General features: G+C 42.0%; 1 protein-coding gene and 1 pseudogene across 34 annotated transcripts in view, besides 2 other annotated features; both read left to right on the forward strand.

The window, feature by feature from the left end:
* KALRN (kalirin RhoGEF kinase) overlaps positions 1-26552 on the forward strand; it is a 692957-nt gene that overhangs the window by 570360 nt on the left and 96045 nt on the right. The gene's annotated exons all lie outside the window — the stretch shown is intronic.
* Positions 16259-16328: an enhancer, noted in NCBI's record as "active region_20399". NCBI's record gives its function as "activates an Ori minimal core promoter by ATAC-STARR-seq in GM12878 lymphoblastoid cells {active_cell/tissue: GM12878}" and the evidence as "EXISTENCE:reporter gene assay evidence [ECO:0000049][PMID:35858748]".
* Positions 17096-17185: an enhancer, noted in NCBI's record as "active region_20400". NCBI's record gives its function as "activates an Ori minimal core promoter by ATAC-STARR-seq in GM12878 lymphoblastoid cells {active_cell/tissue: GM12878}" and the evidence as "EXISTENCE:reporter gene assay evidence [ECO:0000049][PMID:35858748]".
* On the forward strand, positions 17982-18804 carry MEMO1P6 (MEMO1 pseudogene 6; annotated as a pseudogene).

Here is a 26552-nt window from a genome sequence, read left to right on the forward strand (position 1 = left end):
AATATTCCCATATGCTAGTCTATTGGGTTCCTTTGCCTTAAAGTAAAGGTTGCCTCATTTTGACTTTGAACTTGATGGGGGCAAAAGGGGGAGAATGAAGGTGTTTTTACCTTATAGTATCTAACTATGCCCTCCCACCTCTCTAGAATAATACATTATACCAGGCTAGAAAAACTGCTTCAGATGGAGCCTGGTGATCTTATTTGAGAAGGTCATTCTCAGAGCCATCACTAGGATAAAGAGAGTGAACAACATCAGCTCACACATGTGATTCTGTGTTGCATGCTTTGGACTTGGATTCTATCACCGAGAGATCCCTTCTCTGAAACAGTTGGGGTGAAACATGGGTGGTAGACCCAAAACCCCCACAAAGTAAGAACTCTGAACAAATAGATGGTCAGGACTGCTTTCACGTTTTTTTTTTTTAAATTTATTATTATACTTTAAGTTTTAGGGTACATGTGCACATTGTGCAGGTTAGTTACATATGTATACATGTGCCATGCTGATGCGCGCACCCACTAACTCGTCATCTAGCATTAGGTATATCTCCCAATGCTTTCATGTTTTTTAAGCTTTCTCTATGCCTTGGATAGTGTATTCTCCAGAGTGAGGATGTGGAAGTTATGCATCGAGCCTGAAAAGAGCCACTCTTGGTGCTGCTGTTGGACTATATTGCTCTTCCCAAACCACAAAGGTTGTTTCTTTATAACCTTGTGATCATAGAATTGAAAGTTAAGGTGCTTAATGGTGGAAAATAGTTTGGGAAACGAAGGTTGGAGATGAGCTCATGAAAGCCCTATAAATATTTTTATGATCCTTAAAATAAATTATTCCACTAAGGGGAATAATAGTGATTACTATGTAATTTCCATTCTATTGGGTTAGAATTTTTCAGAGTTTTTCCTGATTCAAAATTTGAACTAGATGTTTTTTAATTTCGTTTAAAATTTTTAATTATTAACTAATTATTTTAGAGACAGGGTCTCACTCTGTCACCCAGACTGGAATGCAGTGGTACGATCATAGCTCACTGCAGCCTCAAACTACTGCACTCAAGCGATCCTCTTGTCTCAGCCTCCTGAGTAGGTGGGACCACAAGGATGTGCCATCATGCCTGGCTAATTAAAAAAAAAAAAAAATTAGGCCGGGTGCAGTAGCTCATGCTTGTAATTCCAGCACTTTGGGAGGCCAAGGTGTGCAGATTGCCTAAGCCAGGGGTTCCAAACCAGCCTGAGCAACATGGCAAAACCTCATCTCTACAAAAAATATATATATACAAAAATTAGCCAGGCATGCTGGTGTGCACCTATAGTCCCAGCTACTCAGGAGGCTGAGGTGGGAAGATCACTTGAGCCCAGGAGGCGAAAGTTGAAGTGAGCTGAGATCACGCTATTGCACTGCACAGGGTCTCACTCTGTTGCCCAGGCTGGTCTTGAACTCCTGGCCTCAAGGGATCCTCCTGCCTCGGCCTCCCAAAGTTCTGAGATTACAGGCATGAGCCAGCACATCTGGCCTAAATTCCTTTCTGTGTGTGGTTATAGAGATAATAGGTGCATTGGCTGGATGCAGTGGCTCATGCCTGTAATCCCAGCACTTTGGGAGGCTAAGAGGCAGGTGGATCACTTGAGGTCAGGAGTTCAAGACCAGCCTGGCCAACATGGTGAAACCCCATCTCTACTAAAAGTACAAAAATTAGCCAGGCATGGTGGCACATGTCTGTAATCCCAGGTACTTGGGAGGCTGAGGCAGGAGAATTGCTTGAACCCAGCAGGCGGAGGTTGCAGTGAGCTGAGATCACGCTATTGCACTCCAGCCTGGGCGAAGAAATGGGACTCCATCTAAAAAAAAAAAAAAAAGAGAGAGAGAGAATAGGTGCATTAAGATAGTTTCATCCCACTGTGGTCCTGTATCCAAATGGGGCCCAAAACTGTGTAAGAATATAGACTTTGAAGCTCCATAGACCTGCCTTGGATATTGGTTCTGTCCCCCTGATTATAGAGCTTTAGTACTGTAGGGGTTTTGGTGTCATATATCTAATAAATATGCATGTACACCCAGGTTTTTAAGCTGCTGTGCTTCACCCATGGCAGTGTGATTCGTCAAAATAAACAAGAACGGAGTAGCACTTGGATCTGCCTCCATCACCACCCCTTCCATTACACGAGTGAAATCCCCTCTATCCCAACACACACATCAAAATGTAATGCTTGCCGCAGCTTTTTGCATCTCTTCCAAGAGGGAGGCTTGATTGGAAAACCTACTTCTGATTAACCACCAACTTCACCCTCCTTTATCATTTCAGTCCACTGCTGACTTTCTCTGATTTATCCCCATCATGAATAGCTTAAAGACTTGACTTAACATAGTCATGCATCTGTTCAGCAAATTTTATTGAACTTAAGCATACTGAAACTTAAGCTCACAGTTTCAGAAAACACAGAGAGAAATAAAATCACATTGATTGGAGTTTGTGTACAAGAGGAATTATACTTCGGGGCAATTATATTGTTCTCATTTGGGGCATTCCTTTGGCCTTGCATGATACTTAGACTGGAGTGTCTCCTCTCTTAGATGGGAGTCCTCATTGGTGACCCAAAGGACCTTGGAAACTGCCCAAGAGCTAGAGCCCAAAATCTCACATGTCTGACAAGCTCAGTGCTGGCATAGCTTGCAGCATTCACTTAGCTATGAAAACGCCCAGGCCATGTGATGTGTGGCAAGGCTTCTTCTTAATCCTTTCTTATAGTCCTGTCTCCTTAAAAATACCATAAATTTGATTTATAAAATATGAGAACCATAAAAGACAAATATAAAGCAGAGGTTCTTTGAAGTTTCTACTTTAAAATGTTTTTCTTAACGTTAAAGTCAGGTAAATTATATCCACAGATCTCATTATACATAAAAATAAATTTCAGAAGGATTTCAGGCAAATGTAAAGACACTATAAAGGAAGTTAAAACAAATGATGGACTAGGAGAAAATGCGTGTAACCTGCCTAATAGATAAAAGATTAAGACCCAGAATGTATGAAGAGTTCTTATAAATTAAGAAAAAAGCTAATTAACCCAATATTTTAAAAAAGGGCAAAAGCGATGAAGATGTAAGACTTTTTAAAAGGCAATAAACTTTTCAAAAGATAACATCTAGTAATCAAAAATTCAAATAAAAACGATAAGATTATGTTTCACCCTTCAGATTGGCAAAATTATAGGTAAGGCCAAATAGATATTCATCCACTCATGGGAACATAAATTGATTCTCTTTCTTCAGGGCCATTTGGCAAAATCTATAAAAATTGAAAATGTGTATGTCTTTTGACTCATCAATACCACTTCTTGTACTGTACCCTAAAGAAGGTCTCCATTTGTCACAGGATTTCAAGTGATAATTTTTGTAATAGCGAACAAGAACATGGACAGTGACATTGTTTCCAATAGGGGAATGATTGTGGTATAATTTTACAGTGGTGTGGTATTCAGCCATCTGAAACAAACAGCAAAATAGAAGATCCAAACATAGGAAGATCTCCCATTTGTTAAATGGGAAAAAATCCATACAGAACCATTCAACGACATAGTATAAACATTGTGCAAGAACAAACTGTGTGTCTATGTGGGTGAATGCATTGAAAATGAGCCAAGATATATACTGAATCACTGTGGTTACTTCTAGGTAGCAGAGTAGAATTGATTTGGGTGTGGGGAAGTAACTGGGAGTAAGTTGGGGAGAGATGAACTTTTTACCCTATAATCTTCTAAAGTATTTTATGAAATTTCATGAGCATGTATTTATGTATGACATACTTTTTAAAGTAATACATACTTGTAGCCAATAATTTGGAAGACATAGGAGAAAATAAGGAAAATATATCACCCTATAATCCTAGAGACCTTGACTTTACTCAACTCTCATTCTCACTCTGCTGCCCAGGCTGGAGTGCAGTGGCACAATCTCGGATCACTGCAACCTCCACCTCCTAGGTTCAAGTGATTCTCCTGCCTCAGCCTCTCAAGTAGTTGGGATTATAGACATGTACCACTATGCCTGGCTAATTTTGTATTTTTAGTAGAGACACGTTGACCAGGCTGATCTCAAACTCCTGGCCTCAAGTGATCTGCCTGCCTCAGCCTCCCAAAATGTTGGGATTACTGGTGTGAGCCACAGTGCCTCCACAGCTGGTTCAGTTTTTATAATTAACATTGTATCCTGCTTTTTTTCCACTGAATGTTATCTAAGCATTTTCCTTCAGTTTTACAAATTTATAATCTCTCTTTTTTAATTTTTTTTTTTTTTTTAGGACAGGGTCTCATTCTGTCACCCAGGCTGGAGTGCAGTGTCCTGATCTCGGCTCACTCCAGCCTCTGCCTGCCTGCTCAAGTGATTCTCCCACCTCAACCTCCTGAGTCGCTGGGACCACAGGCATGTGTCGTCACCGTGCCCGGCTAATTTTTTTTTTGTAGAGACAGGGTTTCACCATGTTGCCCAGGCTGGTCTCAAATTCCTGGGCCCAAGTGATCTGCCCACCTTGTCTTTCCAAAGTGCTAGGATTACAGGCATGAGATACCATGCCCTGCCACAAATTTATACCCTCTCATGCAACCTTTAAATGTTTATTACAAATTCACACACTTTAAGTCTCTAGAATAGATAGTAAATTTTTCAAGGGCCATGAAGAGCAGATGAGTCCTCGCTCTGTCTCCTCAGGAAGAGTACTGATAAGTAGAGGGCAGCTGAACCAAGGCCCAAGCACCCAGAGACTAGTTGCTGGAAGTCAGCGGAGAACTTACAGCATCCTGTCTCCCTTCTTCCCCTCCCTCCTGATAGTCTGTGGACCGTATGTTTTTGCTTCTCCCTAGCTCAGGTTCTAATTCTGGCTTCTGGGAGCTGCCTTTTCTGCTGCAGGCCTGCCCAAGAGTTGGGAACAAAGACCAGGATTTGCAATGGTGGCCCTCCCCTGCAGTAATGGCATTTAAAAGTCTGCTTAGAACACATAACTGAATCTTCTGTATTTCCAAGGTTTAAAGGTGAAAGTGCTGGTAAGGATAATCTAGAGTTGTTCTTCCACTTGACAGATTAGTACATTGAAAGCCAGCAAGATTGGGTTTTACCTAAGATCATGCAGCAAGTTAAGAGTTAAGCTGGAAATCATACGTGGGGTTCTTTGTGTGGCCCAGTGCTGCTTTTACTGTACTCCTTTTCTTGAGCGCTGGGAGCCTGAGGCCTGGCCTAGCACTGAAGGTACCATGAAAGGTACCTTAGCAGCATTCAGGCAGCCTGGAACTCTGAGACTTAGCCAAAGGGTCAGCGGACTGAAGAAAGGTCATGTGGGCTTGAGTTTTGTTCATTTATTCAACAAATATACTGCTTTACAGGTATACATGTGCACACAGCTACACAAAGATTTGGGAAATGTTCTGAAGTGTTAAAGGTCACAAAATAGGTGGATTACAGAAACTTTTCTTTTTCCTCAATTTTTTTTTTCCTGTAATGCTTATATATTACTTTTGAAATCCTGACTTTTTAAACTAAGTCCTCCTGTTGGTCTAAGTGTTTTTATCTGTTGAGGTCATGGAGTACTTCCTACTTTGGCATAAGAAATGGGTGGGTGATGTTATCAGCCACATAAATCCCCTCTTCCATGTGAGCCTGATAGTTTGGGGGTCTCTGACCTGAGTTTGTGGAAGTCCTAAGTATGTCATGCAACTCATGTGTTCATGCTTGCCAGACACACCTATGAGTGTATACATGTATTTGCACTAGCTAGGATCCTTCTGCATCTGTGACTGATGAGTAGTAGGTTATAAAAGTGGGTAAAGGGCATAGAGCGCTTTAAATCTGCTTAGAAGAGAGACGTGCATTCTCCCTTTGTTGCTGCCTGGGAAGGAAAATGAGAGTGAATCCATTCCGGCAGATGACTCAAGGCATTGCAGTCTGAGGATGAGGGCTGGCTGTCTTGCAGGCTTGAGGCCTCACAGCCATTGCTGTATTACAACACAATACTGTTCACTGCCATTTAATAGTCATTACTGTCATTGCCATTTATTGTCATATAATAAGCTGTCACTATTGGGTTAAGTAAGTATTGTTATCTCAGAGGTGGGTGGTAGTTATCCTCATTTTATAGATGAGTAAACTGAGGTTCAGAAAGGTAAAGAGGTAGAACTGGAACTCAAATCCCAAGGTCACCTCACTCTACACTTGGCTTCTGTATTCATCCATGCACACAGAAACAGGCATCTTGGCTTCCTTTTTATTCATTTAATATTTAGAACATATTTACTGAGCACTTTCTATGAAATCTTTTTTCCCCAACAAATGTTTATTGAGTGCTTTAGTTCTGTGCTAAGCACTCTTTTAGCTGCTAGAAGCACAACAATGAACAAAAACAGGGGAAAAAAATTCCCTGCCTTCATGGAGCTTTTAGTGAGGAGAGTAGGAGCAACAAATAAGAAATAAATTTCATAGTAAGTATTTTTAAATATAGTACATTAATATTAATAGAAATTTGAAATTCAGTCATGCCAACAGATGAGGAGGTGACTGAAAAGATAGTCTATTACTCACAGTTCCCCAAGAGGATGGGGCATCCCACACCGGGCCACAGAAGAAAACACTGAAGTTGCATGCAGGCAAAGAGAGAAAAGGAACTAGGGGGCTGGAGTCTTTAAGAGGTGAGGCAAGGTAAGCAGGTTTAGGACTGGCTAGTTTGAGTAATTGTAGAGGGCTCTGGGGGGACAAGGGGTTGTCCCTAGTTGTCTGATACCTGGTCCTGGGGTGATTAGGGCAGGTGGATATTGGCCCAAAAATGAAAGCTTGATAAAGAGGGTGGTTGGGGGTGTGGGCTCTGGATTGGTGGGTTTGCATAGGAAAGGTGTCGCCTCTCTCTAGATATTAACTAACCCTGGGGGGGGCGGCTATCCCTCCAGGATCAGCAATACCCCAGATATCAAAGCAAATAATACAGGAAATAAAAAGACATGGTGAATACAATTGGCTTGACTAGGCAGGGTGGCTTACAACTGTAAGCCCAGCACTTTGGGAGGCTGAGGCAGGAGGATGGCTGGAGCCTAGGAATTTGAGATTAGCCTAGGCAACATAGTAGGACCCCGTCCCTACAAAAAAAAGAAAAGAAAAGAAGAAAAGAAAATTAGCCAGGTGTGGTGGCGCACACTGTGGTCCCAATTACTGGGAAGCTGTGGTGGGAGGATTGCTTGAGCCTGGGAGATCGAGACTGCAGTGAACCAGGCATGCCACTGCACTCCAGCCTGGGCAACAGAGTGATACCCTGTCTCAAAAAATAAAGAAACAATACAGTTGGCTAGATGGCAGTAAGTGCTATAGAGAAGGTAACAGGGCTAGGGAATCAGAGTGGCAGCATGTGGAGGTGGGTGTTGTAGTTCTCAATAGGGTATCAGGGAAGGCTGTGCTGATAAGGCAGCCTTTTAGTAATGACCTGAAGCAAGAGAGAGAATGGGCTCTGTGGGATCTGGGGAAGGACCGCCTAGGTAGAGAGAGAAGTAACATCAGAGATGGGAGCATTTCTCATTGATAATGTTACCTAAAACTGTGTCAACACACCCTAGACCATAGCAGAAAGAATTAAGTTGAGATACCAGGTGACTTGTTGGTGTGGGAAATATGAGCAGATAGTAAGGAGGCATAGGATGGCCTTGTATGTGTGAGCTGGATATGGAGTGTTTTGTCCAGAGACCAGATTTGAATATCCTGATGGTTCCTATTCATCCATATGTAGTAAGCTGTTTCTCCCCATATCTGTTACTCATCACTAGAAGAAAAGGTGATTCTTGGTGCAAAGGTGATTCTAGTTGGAGGGAGATTTATCTGGCTATATAACATAGAGTGGTCAGAAATTAAAGATTGTCAATGAAAATGAATCCTATTGCATCACCTATGTCACACCCCGGCCCCTTTTAAAACACTCCAGTGGCTTCCCATTGCATTGGGGATAAAGTCCAGCTTCCTGCTGTGCCCTGCAAGGCTGTGGTTCTAGGCCCTGCCTACTTTCCAACTGCATTTCATGTCCCTTCACCCACCAGCTGCGCTCCAGCCACAAGAACTTCCTTCAGGAAGCTTGAACATCCCAAACTCGTTTCTGCCTTAGGATTTCTGCATAGTCTATGACCTTGGTAGAAAGCCTTATTTCCGTCTTCATGTGGCTGGTTCACTCCCATCATTCAGGTCTCAGCTTAAATGTCACTTCTCAGAGAACTGTCACCAGCTACTCATTCTGAAGAAGTCCTCAGGCCCTCTCTAGCCCATTAGTCAGTGTTTTTTGTTTTGTTTTGTTTTGTGATGGAGTCTCGCTCTTGTAGCTCAGGCTGGAGGGCAATGGCACAATCTCAGCTTACTGCAGCCTCTGCCTCACAGGTTCAAGCGATTCTCCTGCCTCAGCCTCCCAAGTAGCTGGGATTACAGGCATGCACCACCACATCCAGCTAATTTTTTAATTTTTTTAATTTTTATTTTTTGAGACGGAGTTTTGCTCTTATTACCCAGGCTGGAGTGCAATGGCATGATCTCGGCTCACCACAACCTCTGCCTCCCGGATTCAAGCAATTCTCCTGCCTCAGCCTCCCAAGTAGCTGGGATTACAGGCATGTGCCACCATGCCCAGCTAATTTTGTATTTTTAGTAGACATGGGGTTTCTCCATGTTGGTCAGGCTGGTCTCGAACTCCTGACCTTAGGTGATCCACCTGCCTCGGCCTCCCAAAGTGCTGGGATTACAGGCGTGAGCCACCGCGCCCAGCAATTTTTGTATTTTTAATAGAGATGGGGTTTCACCATGTTGGCCAGGCTGGTCTTGAACTCCTCACCTCAGGTGATCTGCCCGCCTCATCCTACCAAAGTGCTGGGATTACAGATGTGAGCCGTCGAGCCCAGCCGTCAGTTTAATTCTTTAAAACTGTTCAATACTACTGGAAATTTTTCTCATTCATTTGTTAGTTTCTTATCTGACTCCCTCTCTACCCTAACTAGAATGACAAGTTTCTAATTTCAGCGACTTTGTCTGTCTCCTACACTTGCTATAGCTCAGCATCAGGAACAGCTCCTGGCATATAGGAAGCACTCAACAAGCATGTGTTGAATGAACGAATAATAAAGTAGTATCTTCAAATATAAAATGTTATATAAATCGAGCCTATGGGATCCCCACTTAAATAATACAAGAGACATTATAATGATGCAAGGTCTAGGCAAGCTCCAGGAAAAGGGCATTCTTATGGAAATAGTCTGATTGAGTATTTTCTCTGCAAAGGATATCTGCAGGGATGCCTGTAGTACTGGTGACATTCCATACCAATCATTGCTGATCATGGAGCCAGGGGTTTTAGCTATAGTAAAGGAAAAGTGGCCTTGCCACCATTAGGCAAGCAAGGCAGAGTAGCAATCTTTGGGCCTTTGGTCCCAGATGTATAGTATTTGGCAGCAGAGTGGTTGCCTCCTTTAAAAAAAAAATATGTCTTACACTCCCCAGCAGATTTACACTTCCCAGTTTGACACAGCCCATACCTCTCCTGATTGTTCCGTGTCCATCTTTTCATGTTTGCCTTATCCGTTGGTCTCTGAAGACATCTGAGCTTTGACTCTTGCCCTAGGTGAATAAGTGCCCCTTTCTCTAGCAGCTTAGTGGGTACATTGGATGTTTTTCCTGATTGAAGGAAAGTTGAAATACTGCTAGTAAGTCTCAGGATTAGGCTCATGGCAACAGGGCAAGATATCAGTTTGTTTTATCTGCCCAAAGGCAGGGGATGCTTGCTAAAGGGAGTTTCTGGTCCCAATTATGCAAATAACCTACATGTTATAATTGGGAAGTGATCTGTCCAGGGTCTTGTGTCATCTTTCAAATCCAGCCTCTCTACCCAGCTCTTGAGTTGAAGGCTTATTACTTGCTACAACAGTTAGGTAACCTAAATCAGTGTTTTCTAAACTAGAAGCCAACATTTGAGCTTCTAAGGTTCTCACTGATCTATTCTCTCATCACCTACTTGCCATTTCTCCTGCCTTTAATGTTGTTAAATTTGATTCATGAGACTGGAAGTGCCTCACTGTCTACTAGGGTCCTAGAATTCTGTTTCCATTCTTCAGCCTGTGGCCTTTCCAGCTGGTCAGCTCCCATACTCAAGACTCAAGAGCAGCCAGTGTTCTATGTCCTGATGATCTTTCTGTATTTATTAGTAACATATTTGGGTAGTTACAGAGCCAGCCTGGATTTATGTCTCCCCAAAAACCTCCAACACCATTTTCAGTGACAATTTGAGATCTATAGAAGAGACTCATGGGTTGAGTATAAACCTGGCCTCAGACTAGCTTTCAGAATCCTCACTTGGGAATCTCTGTTTCACGTGAAAACTTCAACTGGATGGATTTTGTGTGCCCACAAAGGCTAAAATGAACTTTAAATAGAATGTTAAAGCATAGCTTATAAAATGTTAACAAAACCTAGTTCTAGTCTTTAGTGTAATTACCACTTTCTTTTTCTAAAATTCTTATTTATTTATTTATTTATTTATTTATTTATTTATTTATTTATTGAGACAGGGTCTCACTCTGTTTCCTTGGCTGGAGGGCAGTGGCTCGATCACGGCTCAATGCAGCCTCGACCTTCCGGGCTCAATCAACCCTCCCACCTCAGCCTCTCAAGTAGCTGGGACTACAGGCATGTACCACTATGCCTGACTAATTTTTACAGAAACAGAGTTTCGCCATGTTGCCCAGACTGGTCTCAAACTCCTAGACTTAAGGGATCTGCCCACCTCAGCCTCCTGAAGTGTTGGGATTACAGGCATGAGCCACTGCACCTGGCTTTTTTCTTTTTTTTTTTTTCAGAGACAGGGTGTTGCTGTGTCACCATGTCACCCAGGCTGGAATGTAGTGGCACAATCATGGCTCACTGCAGCCTCAACCTCCTGGGCTCAGGCAATCCTCCCACTCAGCCTCCCAAGTAGCTGGGACTATGGGTGTGCACCAACACACCCAGCTAATTTATTTTTTATTTTGGTAGGGACAGGGTCTCACTATGTTTCCCAGGCTGGTCTTAAACTCCTGGACTCAAGCAGTCCTCCCACCTTAACCTCCCAAAATGTTGAGATTACTGGCATGAGCCATCACACCCAGCTAACCACCTTCATTATACACTGTTCAGTCTGTCTTCAATGGAGTAGAAAATTAGCCTCTTCTCATGTTTGTGATCAGGAAATTGTTTCATGAATGGAATTGAGTATTTTACATGGGAATTATGTTCAAACATTACTTATAGTTAATTTGTCACATATATGACCAGGGTTAGGCAAGCCAAAATTATATCAGAGTTTTAAAACAGCTGGGCTAAGTGAGTATGCAGTTTTACCTGGTGGATTAGAACACTGTCCCAGTGACAGACACTAGGGGATCAAAGTTAACATAACTATAGTCTAATCAAATCAATATTGTATGCCTCCTGATTTGATGCATCATTTTTGGGATATTCCTACCAAAAACACACACCTTAAATGTAATCATAAGGAAATACATGGCAAACCAAATGAGGGACATTCTACAAAATAACTACCCTGTACTTATAAAAGATGTGCAGATCATAAAAGACATGATCTTTCTCTATGAAGGACATTATTGGAATAACTGTCAATATTTGAAAAAAACAGGATATCACTGTTAAATTTCTGATTTTGCTTATTGTCCTATGGTTATATAAGAGATGTCCTTGTTTTAAGGAAACCTATACTAAAGTATCTGGGAATAAAGGGGAATCTTCTCTGTAACTTATTCTCAGTTTGGAAAGAGAAAGATGAAAAAGCTAAGGGCAAAATGTTAACATTGGAGGAATCTGAGTAAAGAGTATATAGGAATTATTTGTACTAGTCGTGTAACCTTTCTCTAAATCTGAAATTATGTCAAAATAAAAAGTTTTAAAGAACTGGTGCCAGTGGGATCATACTGGCGAATCCGGTTGCAGGGTGGGCCAGGCAGTTCATTTTCCTAGCCGTGTGTATCTTTAGTGTGGAATCTGTGCTCCCGGTAGCAAGGAGGCCAGAGAGGAGAACCACAGAGAGACTTTTGCGGGAAGAGCACAGACTTGGAAAGTGTAGGATGAAACACTGAGCTTGGTCAGGAGGCTTAGACTGAACTCAATCTTGTCTACTGCTTTTTCCTAAGCCAGGTAGTGAAGACCTAGAAGAAAACCCACTTGGCACAGGTGGTTGGGAGAAGGAGGATCAGATTAAGACTGTAGAGCCTCCTATTACATTAAGTCCAAGAGACCCTAAGCCTTCACACTTTCTTTCCTGTTCCACCCAAAAATACAGTTTACCAAAAAAGGACACTGCAAACAAGCAGTCTTTGACCTCTAGCCACCTGTTACTTCCTCCATATATGCAGTTTCCTCTTCTTGCTTCTTCTCTCAGGTTTCCTAGGAGAATTTCCATTGTGACATTTTCAGTTAAGTAGCACTTAATTACAGTCTTAAACTTTCCAGAGCCACCCTGCTTAACTCTTCCCCCCAGCCTCTATAATTAAGCCTGTTGCAGTTACCTTTGGTTAAGGTTACTACTGAAGGGCACATTGTGAGTTGAATCCAGGCCAGGCTTCCCACTGGCTTCTGGGTATACTTGATGTGATAGTACATAAGCCTAAAATAACTCGGCTAGACTGCAACTTAGCTCCTACTTTGGCATTCATAACAGGTTTTGAGTTTGACTGACTACCTTGCTGTCAGAATACCATCTCCAGGAGTCTCACTCACCCTTTTTCTTCCAGATCTAGGGAATAATAGCCAAGCTCAATGAAATTTGGTAAATGCTCTATGTTCCCTCTGGGGTCATCATCTACATTAGCATATTAGAGGTTCCCAGAAGTCTTGCAGTAAAGAAAAAGGTGGCTTTCTTAACTCATCTTTAATTGACTGGGCAGCACTTAGAACTTCTTAAGGAACTGGCCAGGCGCGGTAGCTCATGCCTGTAATCCCAGCACTTTGGGAGTCCGAGGTGGGCGGATCATGAGGTCAGGAGATCGAGACCATCCTGGCTAACACGGTGAAACCCCGTCTCTACTAAAAATACAAAAAATTAGCCGGACATGGTGGCCGGCGCCTGTAGTCCCAGCTACTTGAGAGGCTGAGGCAGGAGAATGGCGTGAACCCAGGAGGCGGAGCTTGCAGTGAGCTGAGATTGCACCACTGCACTCCAGCCTGGGTGACAGAGTAAGACTCCATCTCCAAAAAAAAAAAAAAAAAGTTATATTGCTAAGTTTTGTCCCTAGCTTTTCATTACCAGCCATTTAATGACCAAAGAATTTGTGTTGGCTGGGCGTGGTGGCTCACGTCTGTAATCCTAGCACTTTGGGAGGCTGAGGCAGGTGGATCACTTGAGATCAGGAGTTTGAGGCCAATCTGGGCAGCACGGTGAAACCCTGTCTCTACAAAAAATTTAAAAAAATTAGCTGGGCATGGTGGCATGAGGCTATAGTCTCAGCTACTCAGAAGGCTGAGGTGGGAGGATCACCTGAGCCCAGGAGGTTGAGGCTGCAGTGAACTGTCATTGAGCCACTGCACTCCAGCCTGGGTGACAGAGTGAGACCCTGTCTCACACAAATGAACAAAGAATTTGTGCTGGCAATGCAAAGATGGAGGAGACCTCCTCTCAAGGACTTTGCTCAGTGAGGGAAAATATGTAAACAAGCATTTATCAGTGCCAAACAAATAGCACAAAAAGGTATTCAGAGCAAAAGGAGAACATGCTGGGCTTACAACGAAGAAGTCCTTGGTAAGCTTCAGAAAAGCAGAAAAGCTAAAGGGTGTATAAGCAGGGAAGAATGCAACATAGTACAGTGAACTGAAAAATTAGACTAAAGTGAAGGGTTCTTATAGGACACTGGTCTTCAAACTCTGGTGCACATCAGAATTACTTGGGGAGCTTGTTAAAACACAGGATACTAAGCCACCCCAATAGTTCCTGATCCACTAGCTCTGGAGTAGGGCCCAAGAATTTTTATTTCCCACAAGTCCCCAGATGATACTGATCTTGCTGATCTGGGGACCACAGTTTGAAAACTTTGGATTATCAAAAAGTGGAACTCAGAGAACAGGCAAGGTGAGATCAGGCCTGATCGTGGAACTACCATAAAAAAGTAGGCTGACAAATTAGATACTATTGATGAAGTTTTGAATGTGATTTGAACAAAGCGATACAATTGCTCTGGTGGCAGAGATATATCAAATGAATAGGAGAAAAAGACTGGGGGCAGAGAGACAGTCTGGAGCTGTTATGTAGTTAAAGCAAGTAGATTTAAACTATCTGAGTGCCAGTGGGAATGGAAAGAAAATACCAGTGCAGAAATCTTTTTTTTTTTTTTTTTTTTTTTTTTTTTTTTTTTTTTTTGAGATGGAGTCTCGCTCTGTCTCCCAGGCTGGAGTGCAGCGGCACGATCTCGGCTCACTGCAAGCTCCGCCTCCCGGGGTTCATGCCCTTCTCCTGCCTCAGCCTCCCGAGTAGCTGGGACTATAGGCGCCTGCCACCACGCCCAGCTAATTTTTTTTTTTTGTATTTTTAGTAGAGACGGAGTTTCACCATGTTAGCCAGGATGGTCTCGATCTCTTGACTTCATGATCCGCCCACCTCGGCCTCTCAAAGTGCTGGGATTATAGGCGTGAGCCACCGCGCCCAGCCATGCAGAAATCTTAGTGAATGAAAAGTCTGCTGGTAGGAGAACAAAACTGGAAGTTAGCCTTGCCCATTCTGTGGGAGAGTCTTCAGTTATATACAGTCATTTGTATAGTGCTATTTTGAGTCTTTGTGCTTATTACTAGGGCTGAACTTGTTTATGTTCATACCATCTGAAAAGAAAAGGAGAAAATATTACTAGATAAGCTAATAGAGTTAACGGTGCTTTACGGAGCTCATTGAGGGCTTGTTTGAAGGCCTAAGACATACCATGGACTCAGGAGTGGCCCTGATTTATGGGGAAATTGGGCTTACCTGCCAGATATGGAGCTTGGGAGGGCTGCATGCAGAGAGCTAAATCCAGGAGAAGGTGCCCACTCCAGCCTCGGAAATTGGTAGGTGCCTTGTGCCATAATTAGATGACCCTCCTTGTTGTGCTTGTGATGTCTTCGTAGGCGAGTGCAGATTTCAGGCAATCTCAGTTCCTACTTATCCACTAATTCTTGCTGGCCATCACTTGAAAATAGTAAGCATTTCTTGTTTGTCTATTTTAAAATGAATGTTATGGTATATATCTTAGGTATATGACATGATGTTATAGGATACATATAAATAGTTATCTGCTACTTTGTATCCTCTGGCCAACATCTCCCTGTTTCTTCCCCCTACTCCAGCCCCTGGTAACCAGTGTTTTATTTTCCATCACTGTATATTTGACTTTTTTTTTTTTTTTAAGATTCCACATATAAGGGAGATCATGCAATAGTTTTCTATGTCTAGCTTATTTCACTTAACATAGTGCCTTCCAGGTTCATCCAAGTGGCAGAATTGCCTTCTTTTTAAAGGCTGAGTAATATTTCATTGTCTGTGTATATAAATACATACATCAGTTTCTTTATTCCTTGGTTTGTTGGCAAACACTTAGATGGTTGCTGTATCTTGGTTACTGTGCATAATGTTGCAATGAATGTAAGGGTTCAGATATCTCTATGAGGTAGTAACTTCATTTACTTTGGATGTGTACTCAGAAGAGGGATCACTGGGTCATGTGATAATTCCTTTTTATTTTCCTTCTTTTTTTTTTTTTTTTTTTTTTGAGATAGAGTTTTACTCTCGTTGCCCAGGCTGGAGTGCAATGGCGTGATCTTGGCTCACTGCAACCCCGCCTCCCAGGCTCAAGCAATTCTCCTGCCTCAGCCTCCCGAGTAGCTGGGACTACAGGTGCATGCCACCACACCCAGCTAATTTTTGTATTCTTTGTAGAGACAGGGTCTCACCATGTTGTCCAGGCTGGTCTTGAACTCCTAAGCTCAAATGATTCGCCCGTCTTGGGCTCCCAAAGTGCTGGGATTACAGGCATGAGCCACTGCGCCCAGCCTGATTATTCTATTTTTAATTTCTTTAGGAACCTACATACTGTTTGCATAATAGCTGTATCAATCTACACTTCCAGCATCAATGTGCTAGGGTTCCCTTTTCTCTACATTCTCACCAGCATTTGTTATCTCTTGATTTTTGATAATAGCCATTCTAACAGGTATGAGATGATATCATAGTGAAACCATTTTGGTTTTTTTTTTTTCCACAATGAAAGGCCTGTATTTTATACTAATATAATGTGCCCTTTCTTCAGTCTGAATTTGTAAAGTTTCACCATATTCTTTCAGCGGCTATGGTTTTTGTTTTGTTTTGGTTTTGGTTTTGGTTTTGAGACAGAGGTCTCACTGTGTTGCACAGGCTGGAGTGCAGTGGTGGAATCACAGCTCACTGCAGCCTTGACCTCCTGGGCTCAAGCAATTCTGCTGCCTCAACCTCCTAAGTAGCTGAGACAACAGGAGCGCACCACCACACCAGGCTAATTTTTGTTATTATTTTTAGTAGAGATGAGGTCTCGCTATGTTGCTCAGCTGGTCTCAAACTCCTGATCTCAATTGATCTTCCCACCTTAGCCTTCTAAAGTGCTGGGATTATAGGCATGAGCCACCACTCCCGGCCTTGGTGGTTATGTTTTGAACTCTTCAGAAGTCTTTTGGGAAAGTTTTCTACTCCACAGTTTAGAAAAAATGTGTGTTCCCTCTCCAGAAGCTGCAGCAAACTCTAGCAGAAGTAAATGGGTGTGTAGGTTGAAATAATATCTAGAATATTTACTCTTAGAAGAGCAGCAGATCTGCTTTCACTGACTTTTGCTTGATCCCACATATCAAGCTTCAGAATCCACCACTGGTGGAATATAGAGAGAATTTTCTCGCCTTTAACTTCCAGAGACAGCTAGATGGGGCAGTGAGTCCAGTGAGTCAGCACAGCAGTATATCAGAGCAGCGGCCTTGTGTTTTCAGGAAGTGCTTATCTAGGGGCAGAGGGTGGAGTTCATTGCCCTTTGAGGGCTTTCCTCCCTCTGTCTCTGACTCAGACAGAGGATTACACAGGAGAACCCGAGGTCGAGGAGACCTTGAGGACAGTCAATTGGGAACTTTCATTTTATCCTCTGCTTCCAATGCCATCCTAACAGGAGCCAAAGCGTGGGGCCAGGGTCGTGGGGAGGACAGCACTGAAGAAGCCTGCAGTAGTTGAGGGAGATCTGCACTGAATTAGAACAAAATTTAGGAGACTTCTAATTTGAAGCCAGAGGTGCTGACTTTTGAGTCTTTGGAGATTGCCTGTTGGAAATATTCCTGTTGAGGGCCAATGTCCCAATGGGCTCTGAAGATGAGAAGGATCCCTGCCCTATGTGGATGCCACTGGATCTGGAATCATTTCTGTGGCTCAGATATCTGTACACATTCTGCCAGGACAGGAGCAGCCGTATTGGGAAAAGAAGGGGGACAATAACTAGAAACGAACTAAGATGTGGCCCTTGCTTTTGTACTTTTAATTTAATGGGAAAAAATAGATACAGATGTTCTAAATGCATAAGGATTCAGTTGTACAGAATTTATAAAAACACAAAGTTAAGTCTGACTGAAGTGGTAAGGTAAAGGATGTTGAGTTGGTAAAGGATGCATTGGAAAAGAGACTCCTAAACTAGGTCTAAAAGTGGTGGCATAGTAAGTGGGAGGCAGGGGTTTGCGCTATGCATTTGAGACTTGGGGATGACTAAGAGATGGAAGATGGAATATTCTGAGCCAAGATGCATCTGCCAAGTTTAGTCTAAAGTTGTGTTAAGAGTAATTGCAAGGGCAACAAGTTTCCTAGTGTCAAGGAATAGTATTTCTAGCTCCCCCCACTTCCCGGCCCCATTTCCTGTTGCTGTCACCATAGCAGCTATCTTCATTCTCCAGCACTAAGTGGCCCAGGCACCAAGATGGCTAACCAGATGGTTTGCTGAGAAGCCAGCCGTGCCAGAACCTGGCCGTACATAGCCTCAGGACCTCAGCTGAATATGCAACCAGGAGCTTGTATTCTGTTAAATTTTGCCAGAGTATTATTGTACACCATGCAGGACATATTATGTAATAATACTTACTGCAGGCCTTATGCTGTCAATGCTTATGAACAAATATGGATTTATCCATTGGCTACCCAGGAAATTTTCACCTTTGGCCCTCCCATTACGTGCCCTTCTCTAGATATTCAATTTCCAGTGTGAACAAAGATGTATATATGATATTTCTATAATTTTTATATTAGCAAATTATTTCTGGAAAGCAAAGAAAATAGGAATGTTTGAGTATATAATATCTTCAGACAGATGTATTGAAGTACATTGGCCTTATACAACTCAAGCCATATGAAAGCAATATGAATGAGTTTGCAATTATTCCCATGCCATTGGAGCTAAAGCAAAAGAACAGAAGGTCAAAGGACCCCTCTGTAAATTGTTAGTGGATATTAGAAATCTTTGTGGTTTCTTCTGATTTCAGCCATTGGAGTCAAAGTTTCCAATTCAGTATTACGATTAACACCAGGTGGACATTTATAGACCTATTGACCATCTAGATAAAACAGGTATGGTTTATATGGAGCAACTGGACCCCATTGTCTTTTAACAATCACATGATGCATTATATAGAAGACATGCCTTTGGGGTGTGCTTGAATACCATCACTGAACTCCAGAAGAATGGATTGAAACCGAGTTTTTTCATTTTTGAGTTGTACTACTCAAGCCAATGTAGAAAATAGTGAGCCAGCCTCATAAGTAATATATTTGTGATGCCCGCAATCCATGGAAGCCTCGGATGCCACCTGCACATATGCTTGCTCTCTAGGGTCCCAGCCTACCCCTTGCAAAGACACTGCTACTGGTCTTTGGGGACACTAAGCTCCTAACACTATTAGAATTATCTTCTTTTTCTGTCTGGGAATTGTAGTCCTTCTCTACTTCCAAATCGCCTTGGGGTCAGTAGAAACAAGGCTAAGTCAGTATTTTGTGATTAGAAAAGTAATGGGTGACAGTCCTGTGGATGCAACAATAAAGTATTCGCCAGAGCCTATGTTTGCACTCTTTGATGACTTGTGTACAGTGTGTTCTGATTTCAGAATCGTTTGGCAAATTTTACACTAAACCAGAAAGGGGAGTAGCATTTTTTTTAGGTGTAACATTGAAGTAAGTATGAGTTGAAACTTTAGAAACAAGAAATTAAATTTCTAAATTAGTTATATCAGATATAATAAATTTCTGGTATATTCAGTTCCTACCGATGTCTATACAGGTTTCTTTCTTTTCTTTTTTTCTTTCTTTGTCTCTCTCTTTTTTATTCTCTTTCTTCCTTTCTTTTTTGTCTCTTTCTTTCTTTCCTTTTCTTTTCTTTGCTTTGCTTTTTTCTTTCATTCTGCTATGTTGCCCAGGCTGGTCTCAAACTCCTGGGCTCAAGCAATCCTCCTGCCTCGGATTGCTGGGATTACAATCCCAAAGTGCTGGGATTACAGGTGTGAGCCGGTGCGCCTGGCCTATGCAGGTACCTTTTATTTGGTTACTAATTGTATTAGTCAGAGTTCTCTAGAGGGACAACAGAACTAATAGGAGATATATATATATATATATTTATTTATACACACACACACACACACACACACACACAAAAGGGAGTTTATTAACTCACATGATCGCAAGGTCCCACAATAGGTTGTCTACAAGCTGAGAAGCAAGGAGAGCCAGTCCAAGTCCCAAAACTGAAGAACGTGGAGTCCAATATTTGAGGATAGGAAGCATCCAGCACTGGAGAAAGATGTAAGCTGGGAGGCTAGGCCTGTCTAGTCTTTTCACGTTTTATCTGCCTGCTTTATATTCTAACTGCGCTGGCAGCTGATTAGATGGTGCCCACCCAGAGTAAGGGTGGGTCTGCCTTCCCCAGCCCACTGACTCAAATGTTAACACCCTCACAGACACACCCAGGATCAATACTTTGCATCCTTCAATCCAATCAGGTTGATACTCAATATTAACCATCACACTAATGAAAGGCTACCTAAGTAGAAGAAGGACAATGTTTGACACAGACAATGGACTGGTTAGGATATGTTCAGTGCACAAGCTCTCCTAGGCTTTATTCTGATTTTTGTCTTCAGTTGAAGCAGGTAGCACTTATGTGTGTTGCATGGAAACATGCTAAAACAGTCGCCGTCTATCTGAGGTTTCACTTTCCACAGTTTCAGTTACCCACAGTCAACTGAGGTCTGAAAATATTAAATGAAAAATTTCAGAAATAAACAGTTCATAAGTTATAAATTGCACACTGTTCTGAGTAGTGTGATGAAATGTCACACCATCCTACTCCGTCCTGCCCAGGATGTGAATCTGAATCATTCCTTTGTCCAGCATCTCCATGCTGTATATGCTACCTGCCCATTAGTCACTTAGTAGCTGCCTCAGTTATCGGATCAATTGTCCTGGCATTGCAGTGCTTGCGTTCAAGTTACCCGTATTTTACTAAATGATGGCTCCCAAAGCGCAAGAGTAGTGATGCTGGCATATTGTTATTGTTGTCCAATTTCATTATTAGTTGTTGTTGTTAATCTCTTAAGGCCTAATTTATAAATTAAACTTTATCATAGGTACACATGTATAGAAAAAAACATATATAGGGTTTGATACCATCTGTAGTTTCAGGCATCCACTGGGGATCTTGGACTGCATCCCTTCCCTCATGGATAAGGGGGAGATTACTGTACTGTGATTAAAATACCTGAAATCATGGAGTTGTTGCCCCAAGGCTTAGGCTAATAACATCAACGTGCTTATTCTAACCCCCAAGATGGTATCTGAGACCATAATCTCAACAGTTGTTCAATTACCTCCTCATAGAGTCCTTCAGAGGCTCCCATTCTGAGGGATACCCCTGTAGATAGATAGAAGGAGGCAGGTGTCATCTTCAGGGAATAACCTGTGCTGCTTAAACTTCCAAATGGTGAGGGAGGGGGAAAATTGCCTGATAGCCAAAGGATGAGGCTACCTTATTCTAGGAAGAGATTGCAGGCATTGGTCTTAGGAGTGGTTAAAGAGCTATCATTACTTACTGGAGATAGGGAGAATCTATTACCAGGTGGCAACTGGTAGTATTAGGTTTTTCTTTTGCTTTCATGAGACACAGAACTTTGAAGCTAAAACTTTTGACGCTTAACATATCGAGACTAGCCTGTAGAAGAACACACAGATAGAATGAATGAATACACAGAAAAAAGTCAGTCATGGAATTAGGGGAGGTTTTTATGGTTTTATTAATTTTTATTTAACAAATGCTTCTCTGGGTCTAGACATTGTTCTAAACACTTTTCAAATATTAACTTCTTAATCCTAGGAGCAACCTTATGAGATAGGTTCTAATATTCCCTACTGATGAGGAAACCAAGATACAGAGATACAGAAACCAAGGTAACCTGCCCAGAGTCATAACAGTGCCCAGTGGTGGAGCCAGACAGTTCCACCTGGAGATTTATGCTTTAGAGTAAAAGCAGTGCTGTTCAGTGTGTGACCACAGACAGCCAAGGTCTTTGAACTAAGTCCAATCCACAGTGAGATGAGCCCAGAAAATGAGTGTTTTGACAGTTCCACAACATCCAAGAGTGTGATGTATTTCATAAAAGTATTGGTCTGGCCAGGTATGATGGCTCATGCCTGTAATCCTAGCGCTTTGAAGGCTGAGGCAGGAGGATCCCTTGAGCTCAGGAGTTCGAAACCAGCCCGGACAACATCATGAGACCCCATCTCTATCTTCTTCCAAAAAAAAAAAAGTACTGGTCCAAAATAGATTGGAAACAAGTAAAACTGATTCTTTACCACAGACAGTTTGGGAAGCACTGCCTAGAAGAATTCTCACACTCATGCAAATGGATTTGTACAATTATATATCTATTTATCTCTATATCCCCATATGCCCAAATGTTCATTAGGAAAATATATTACAAAATTATGATGTAGCCTATGAAAGAATATTATTCAACAATTAACATGAGGCTGGGCACGGTGGCTCACACCTATAATCCCAGCACTTTGGGAGGCTGAGGTGGCCAGATCACCTGAGGTCAGGAGTTTGAGACCAGCCTGGCCAATGTGGTGAAACACCATCTCTACTAAAAATACAAAAATTAGCAGGGTGTGGTGGTGCATGCCTGTAATCCCAGCTACACCAGAGGTTGAGGCAGGAGAATCATTTGAACTTGGGAGGCAGAGGTTGCAGTGAGCTGAGATCGCGCCATTGCACACCAGCTTAGGCAACAGAGTAAGACTCTGTCTCAAAGAAAAAAAAAATTAACATGAATGAACTAGATCTACATGTATGAACATGAATAAATCTCAAATAATTTTGAATAAATGAAGTTGCAAAGTAATACCTACATTATGATAATTATATAAACTATAAAACACAAAATAATACTATATTCACATAAAAGTAAATGTTTAACAACATGGATAAGAAAGATGCACACTAGCTTCAGAAGAGAATTTAACTTTGATGAGGGCAATTAGAGAGTAGGATTGCAACTGGGCAACATAAAAGGCTTCAACTATATCTGTAATCTTTTATTTTTAAAAAACTTGGAGTAAATATGGAAAAATGTTTACACTATATCTAGGTGATGAGTACATAGATGTCAATTTTTTTCTATATTTTTCTGTATTTTAAAACTATTTCATGATAAAATTCGCTTCAGAAAATTTTTTTTAATTATAGAAAGCCAACTGTACATACCAGAACATTAGGGGCTCTTTATTATTTGCAGTGTCCAGGGATCCATTTGTCTTCCCATTTACTTAATGCCAGTCATTGGTCTTTGGGCAGTTTCTAAAGCTTCTTTGCTAAAGAGGAAGCATTGGTTCAGAGCCCTAGAATAGGCCTAGGGATGCCTAGATGCTGGTACTAGTTTTGTTACTGATTTGTGACAAGTGGTTTTCCACATATAAACCTTTAAGCAACTTGATGCTCCCTTCTATAATAATGGTAAAGATGAAAGGAACACATGGAATGAACTTGGATGTAGAGATAAGATTAAATACATGTGTGGTGGAGTCAGATCTGGGTTTAAGTCTTGCCTTTGCCAGTCACTATGAGCCTCAGTTTCCTAAAACAGTCTCATTTTCTGTTTCCTAAGGTGGGAATCCTAATAAATAACACCTGCCTGGACTTGGGATGATTTGACGAGAGAACGATATTATTGTTGTAGTTATTCCAAATCTGTCACTTAGCTGTTTTATCTAGAAAGATAGTAAAATAAGTTCTCTAGCAGCTAATGGCAGCCATTTTCCAAAAAAGATGGGATGAGCATAACATGCCAATCCCTCTGAAGAAGCGATTAACTAAGTAGATGTTTCTAATCTAAATGATGCCACATTCCTTTATAACCAGACATTTAAAGTGTCTTGGAAATGGTCTTATCCCAAGTCAGGACACCCACTAGGTGATGAATTACATTGCTTCCAGCTCTGAGATTCCCATAACTTGGGCCATGGTTGCATGGCTCCAGTTGCTTGCATGGAACAAACTTGAAACAACAAAATAGAGATTACTTTTGGTTTTTAATTTGTACTTTATACTCTTGCCATTAATTTTCACAGAAAGCAAAGAAGCAGAAGTAAATGACAACAGGGGAAGAGGAATGGTCATTCAAAATGTGCATTTGTGAATCTCAAAACCAGGCCATGATGTACCATGGAACAGAAATCTTAGGCAGTCATCTGTCTCGCCTGGTAACGCAAGGCACAGTTAATGTGGCCGGACTTCTAGTTCTGCTGACACGACATGTGCTGATAATAAGTCTTGAAGGCTTGGATTCAGTAGAGCCACATGGCATCACAGGGGTCTAGTGAATGAAAAGCTTCTGCAAACTTATCAGCAGAAAGATAGCAGAGAGGCCCTGCTTCTATTACCAGTGTTCTGAAGATGTTTATCACCCAGCCTTCTGAGAACAGTAGTTTGACCCATACCAAACACTTCAGAAACAATGTCAACACACCCAAGACCACAGCCAGCAAGGAATTTTCTGAGATAAGATTACAGCTTTTTCCTTAAAGAGATGCCAACCAAGTTAGTCGAGCTCCTAATATTCCCTGAGTATAGCAACGCTGTGAGTTATCCTTCATACCAGAGAATTTTAGAAGCTCAATTTTTATGCTTCCAAATACAAATATTCTGCTGCTGTTTTCCAAGTTATGCACAAAACTCAAGCAATATCCAAGAAAGTTCCAGCAGGGTCAAGGCTCAGAAAGCCTGAGATTTGTGCCCATGAGACCAGCCAGTTGTAGCCACCGGAGACAGCTGTCTATTGGCAAAAGCATCCATTCACCTTTCCTTCCATCCTCCCTCCCTCCCTCCCTCCCTTCCTTCCTTCCCTCCCTCCCTCCTTCATTCCCTCCCTCCCCCCCTCCTTCCTTCCCTCCCTCCCTCCTTCCTTCCCTCCCTCCCTTCTTCTTTCCTTCCCTCCTTCCCTCCTTCCTTCCTTCCCTCCCTCCCTCCTTCATTCCCTCCCTCCCCCCTCCTTCCTTCCCTCCCTCCCTCCTTCCTTCCCTCCCTCCCTTCTTCTTTCCTTCCCTCCTTCCCTCCTTCCTTCCTTCCTTCCCTCCCTCCCTCCTTCACTCCCTCCTTCCTTCCCTCCCTCCCTTCCTCCTCCTTTCCCCTCCTTCCCTTCCTTCCCTTCCTTCCCTTCCCTCCCTTCCCTTCCTTCCCTTCCTTCCCTTCCTTTCCTTCCTTCCTTCCTTTCTTTCCTTTTCTTTCTTTTCTTTTCTTTTCATTTCTTTTCTTCTCATTTCTTTTCTTCTTTCTCTTGCTCTGTTGACCAGGCTAAAGTGCAGTGGTGTGATCTCAGCTTACTGCAACCTCTGCCTCCTAGGCTCAAACTGTTCTCATGCCTCAGCCTCCCAAGTAGCTAGGATTTTAGTCATGTGCCACCACACCTGGCTAATTTTTTTTTTTTTTTTTTTTTTTTTTTTGTAGAGACGGAGTCTTGCCATGATGGCCAGGCTGGTCCTAAACTCCTGGCCTCAAGTGATCTGGCCACTTCTGCCTCCCAAAATGCTGGGATTACATGCATGAGCCACCATGCCCAGCCATATCCTTTCACCCTATTTCAGGATTTTATTTCTTCTCTATTGGCTGCATGTAGGCCAGAGGGCCTCCCAGGTAGATTAGACCTCTAGTCTAGGTCTAGGGCAAAGTCATTATAGGAAAAGGTGACTCAGTCTTCGAGTAGGTATGAAAAGCCACTGTAATAATTTGTTTAAATACCTAGTCCTGTGTTTGATTTAAATATCAGTATGCAAACCGGCACTGTCAGGGGGCCTATGTGCGGGTGAGGTAGAGCTGGTCAGGTATTCTCCCAAGATCATGGTGATGATGAGAAGCATCAGCATACACAGAGACAACTCACCTTTGATTTGTTCAGATGCTAATGGTATCACTTCTTGCTTTGAAGTGTCTCACGTTCATTTCTTTATATTCCCTGTGCACAGCCCTAGTGTGGTTTTCTGGGCTCTAATTCCTCCTTCGCAGGGCTGTGCTGTATATAGTTGCCAAGATTCGTTAAAAACAAAGCAGTAACAACAACAACAAAAAAAACTCTTTTTATCATGTCATTTCCCAGTAGTCTCATAATAAAGTTTATACTCCTCTGGTTTATTATTGAATGTCCTCACAAATTTTTCTATCCAGGTTCTCTTTCTCCACTAATCTTTATTTCATCCAAAGGATCTATTACTGGCTGTTAACTTATTTTTCATTTTTCCTGCCTCTGTGCTTTTGTTCCTGCTGTTTCTCCCTTTTGGAATTCCTTCACCCTTCTATTCAGATACAGCTCTTCCATTAAATCTTTTCAGATCAATCCCGCCTACACTGATCTCACCCTCCTCTGAACTCTGCTTACTTGTCAGCTAAAGTCCATACCAGCCCTCTGGCAATTAATCACATACAGCCTTGTGAATTTATCTTTATTTTGCATGCTTAATCTTGCTTTTTCATTTTTTCTCTCTCTCTCTCTGTCTCTCTCTCTCTCTGCTTCTCTCTATTGTGTATGGATATCTATGTATAGCTAGGTAAGAGGTCTGCGAAAATAAAAATCTGTCTTATATATCTTTATAATACATGACCTAATCAGTGCTCCATGACATAATTATTACTTAGGAATTTTCACTGAGGATCTTGATTTGCATGCTGATGCTCCTGTGCAACTTTCGAATGCCCAGCTTTCTCAATACTGGTAGAAACAAGCACTGAGAACTAGGAAGACATCTGAAGTGGACTTAAAGGGCTTTCTTTTGAATAACTCAAAACTATTCTCTAAAGCCAAGGTAGGTAGATGCTAATGCTGATCTCCTCCGAGTTTAATGAGTATTCAGAAATCAAGGATTTAGGGAAAATTAAATAAAGTTTGCTCAATGTGGTTTTCCTGCATGCCCACATCTGCCACATGCCTGTTCTAGCCTCTCTATTCTTCCATGGCAGCGT

Source organism: Homo sapiens, chromosome 3 (assembly GCF_000001405.40).
Source record: "Homo sapiens chromosome 3, GRCh38.p14 Primary Assembly".
Classification (NCBI taxonomy): domain Eukaryota; kingdom Metazoa; phylum Chordata; class Mammalia; order Primates; family Hominidae; genus Homo; species Homo sapiens.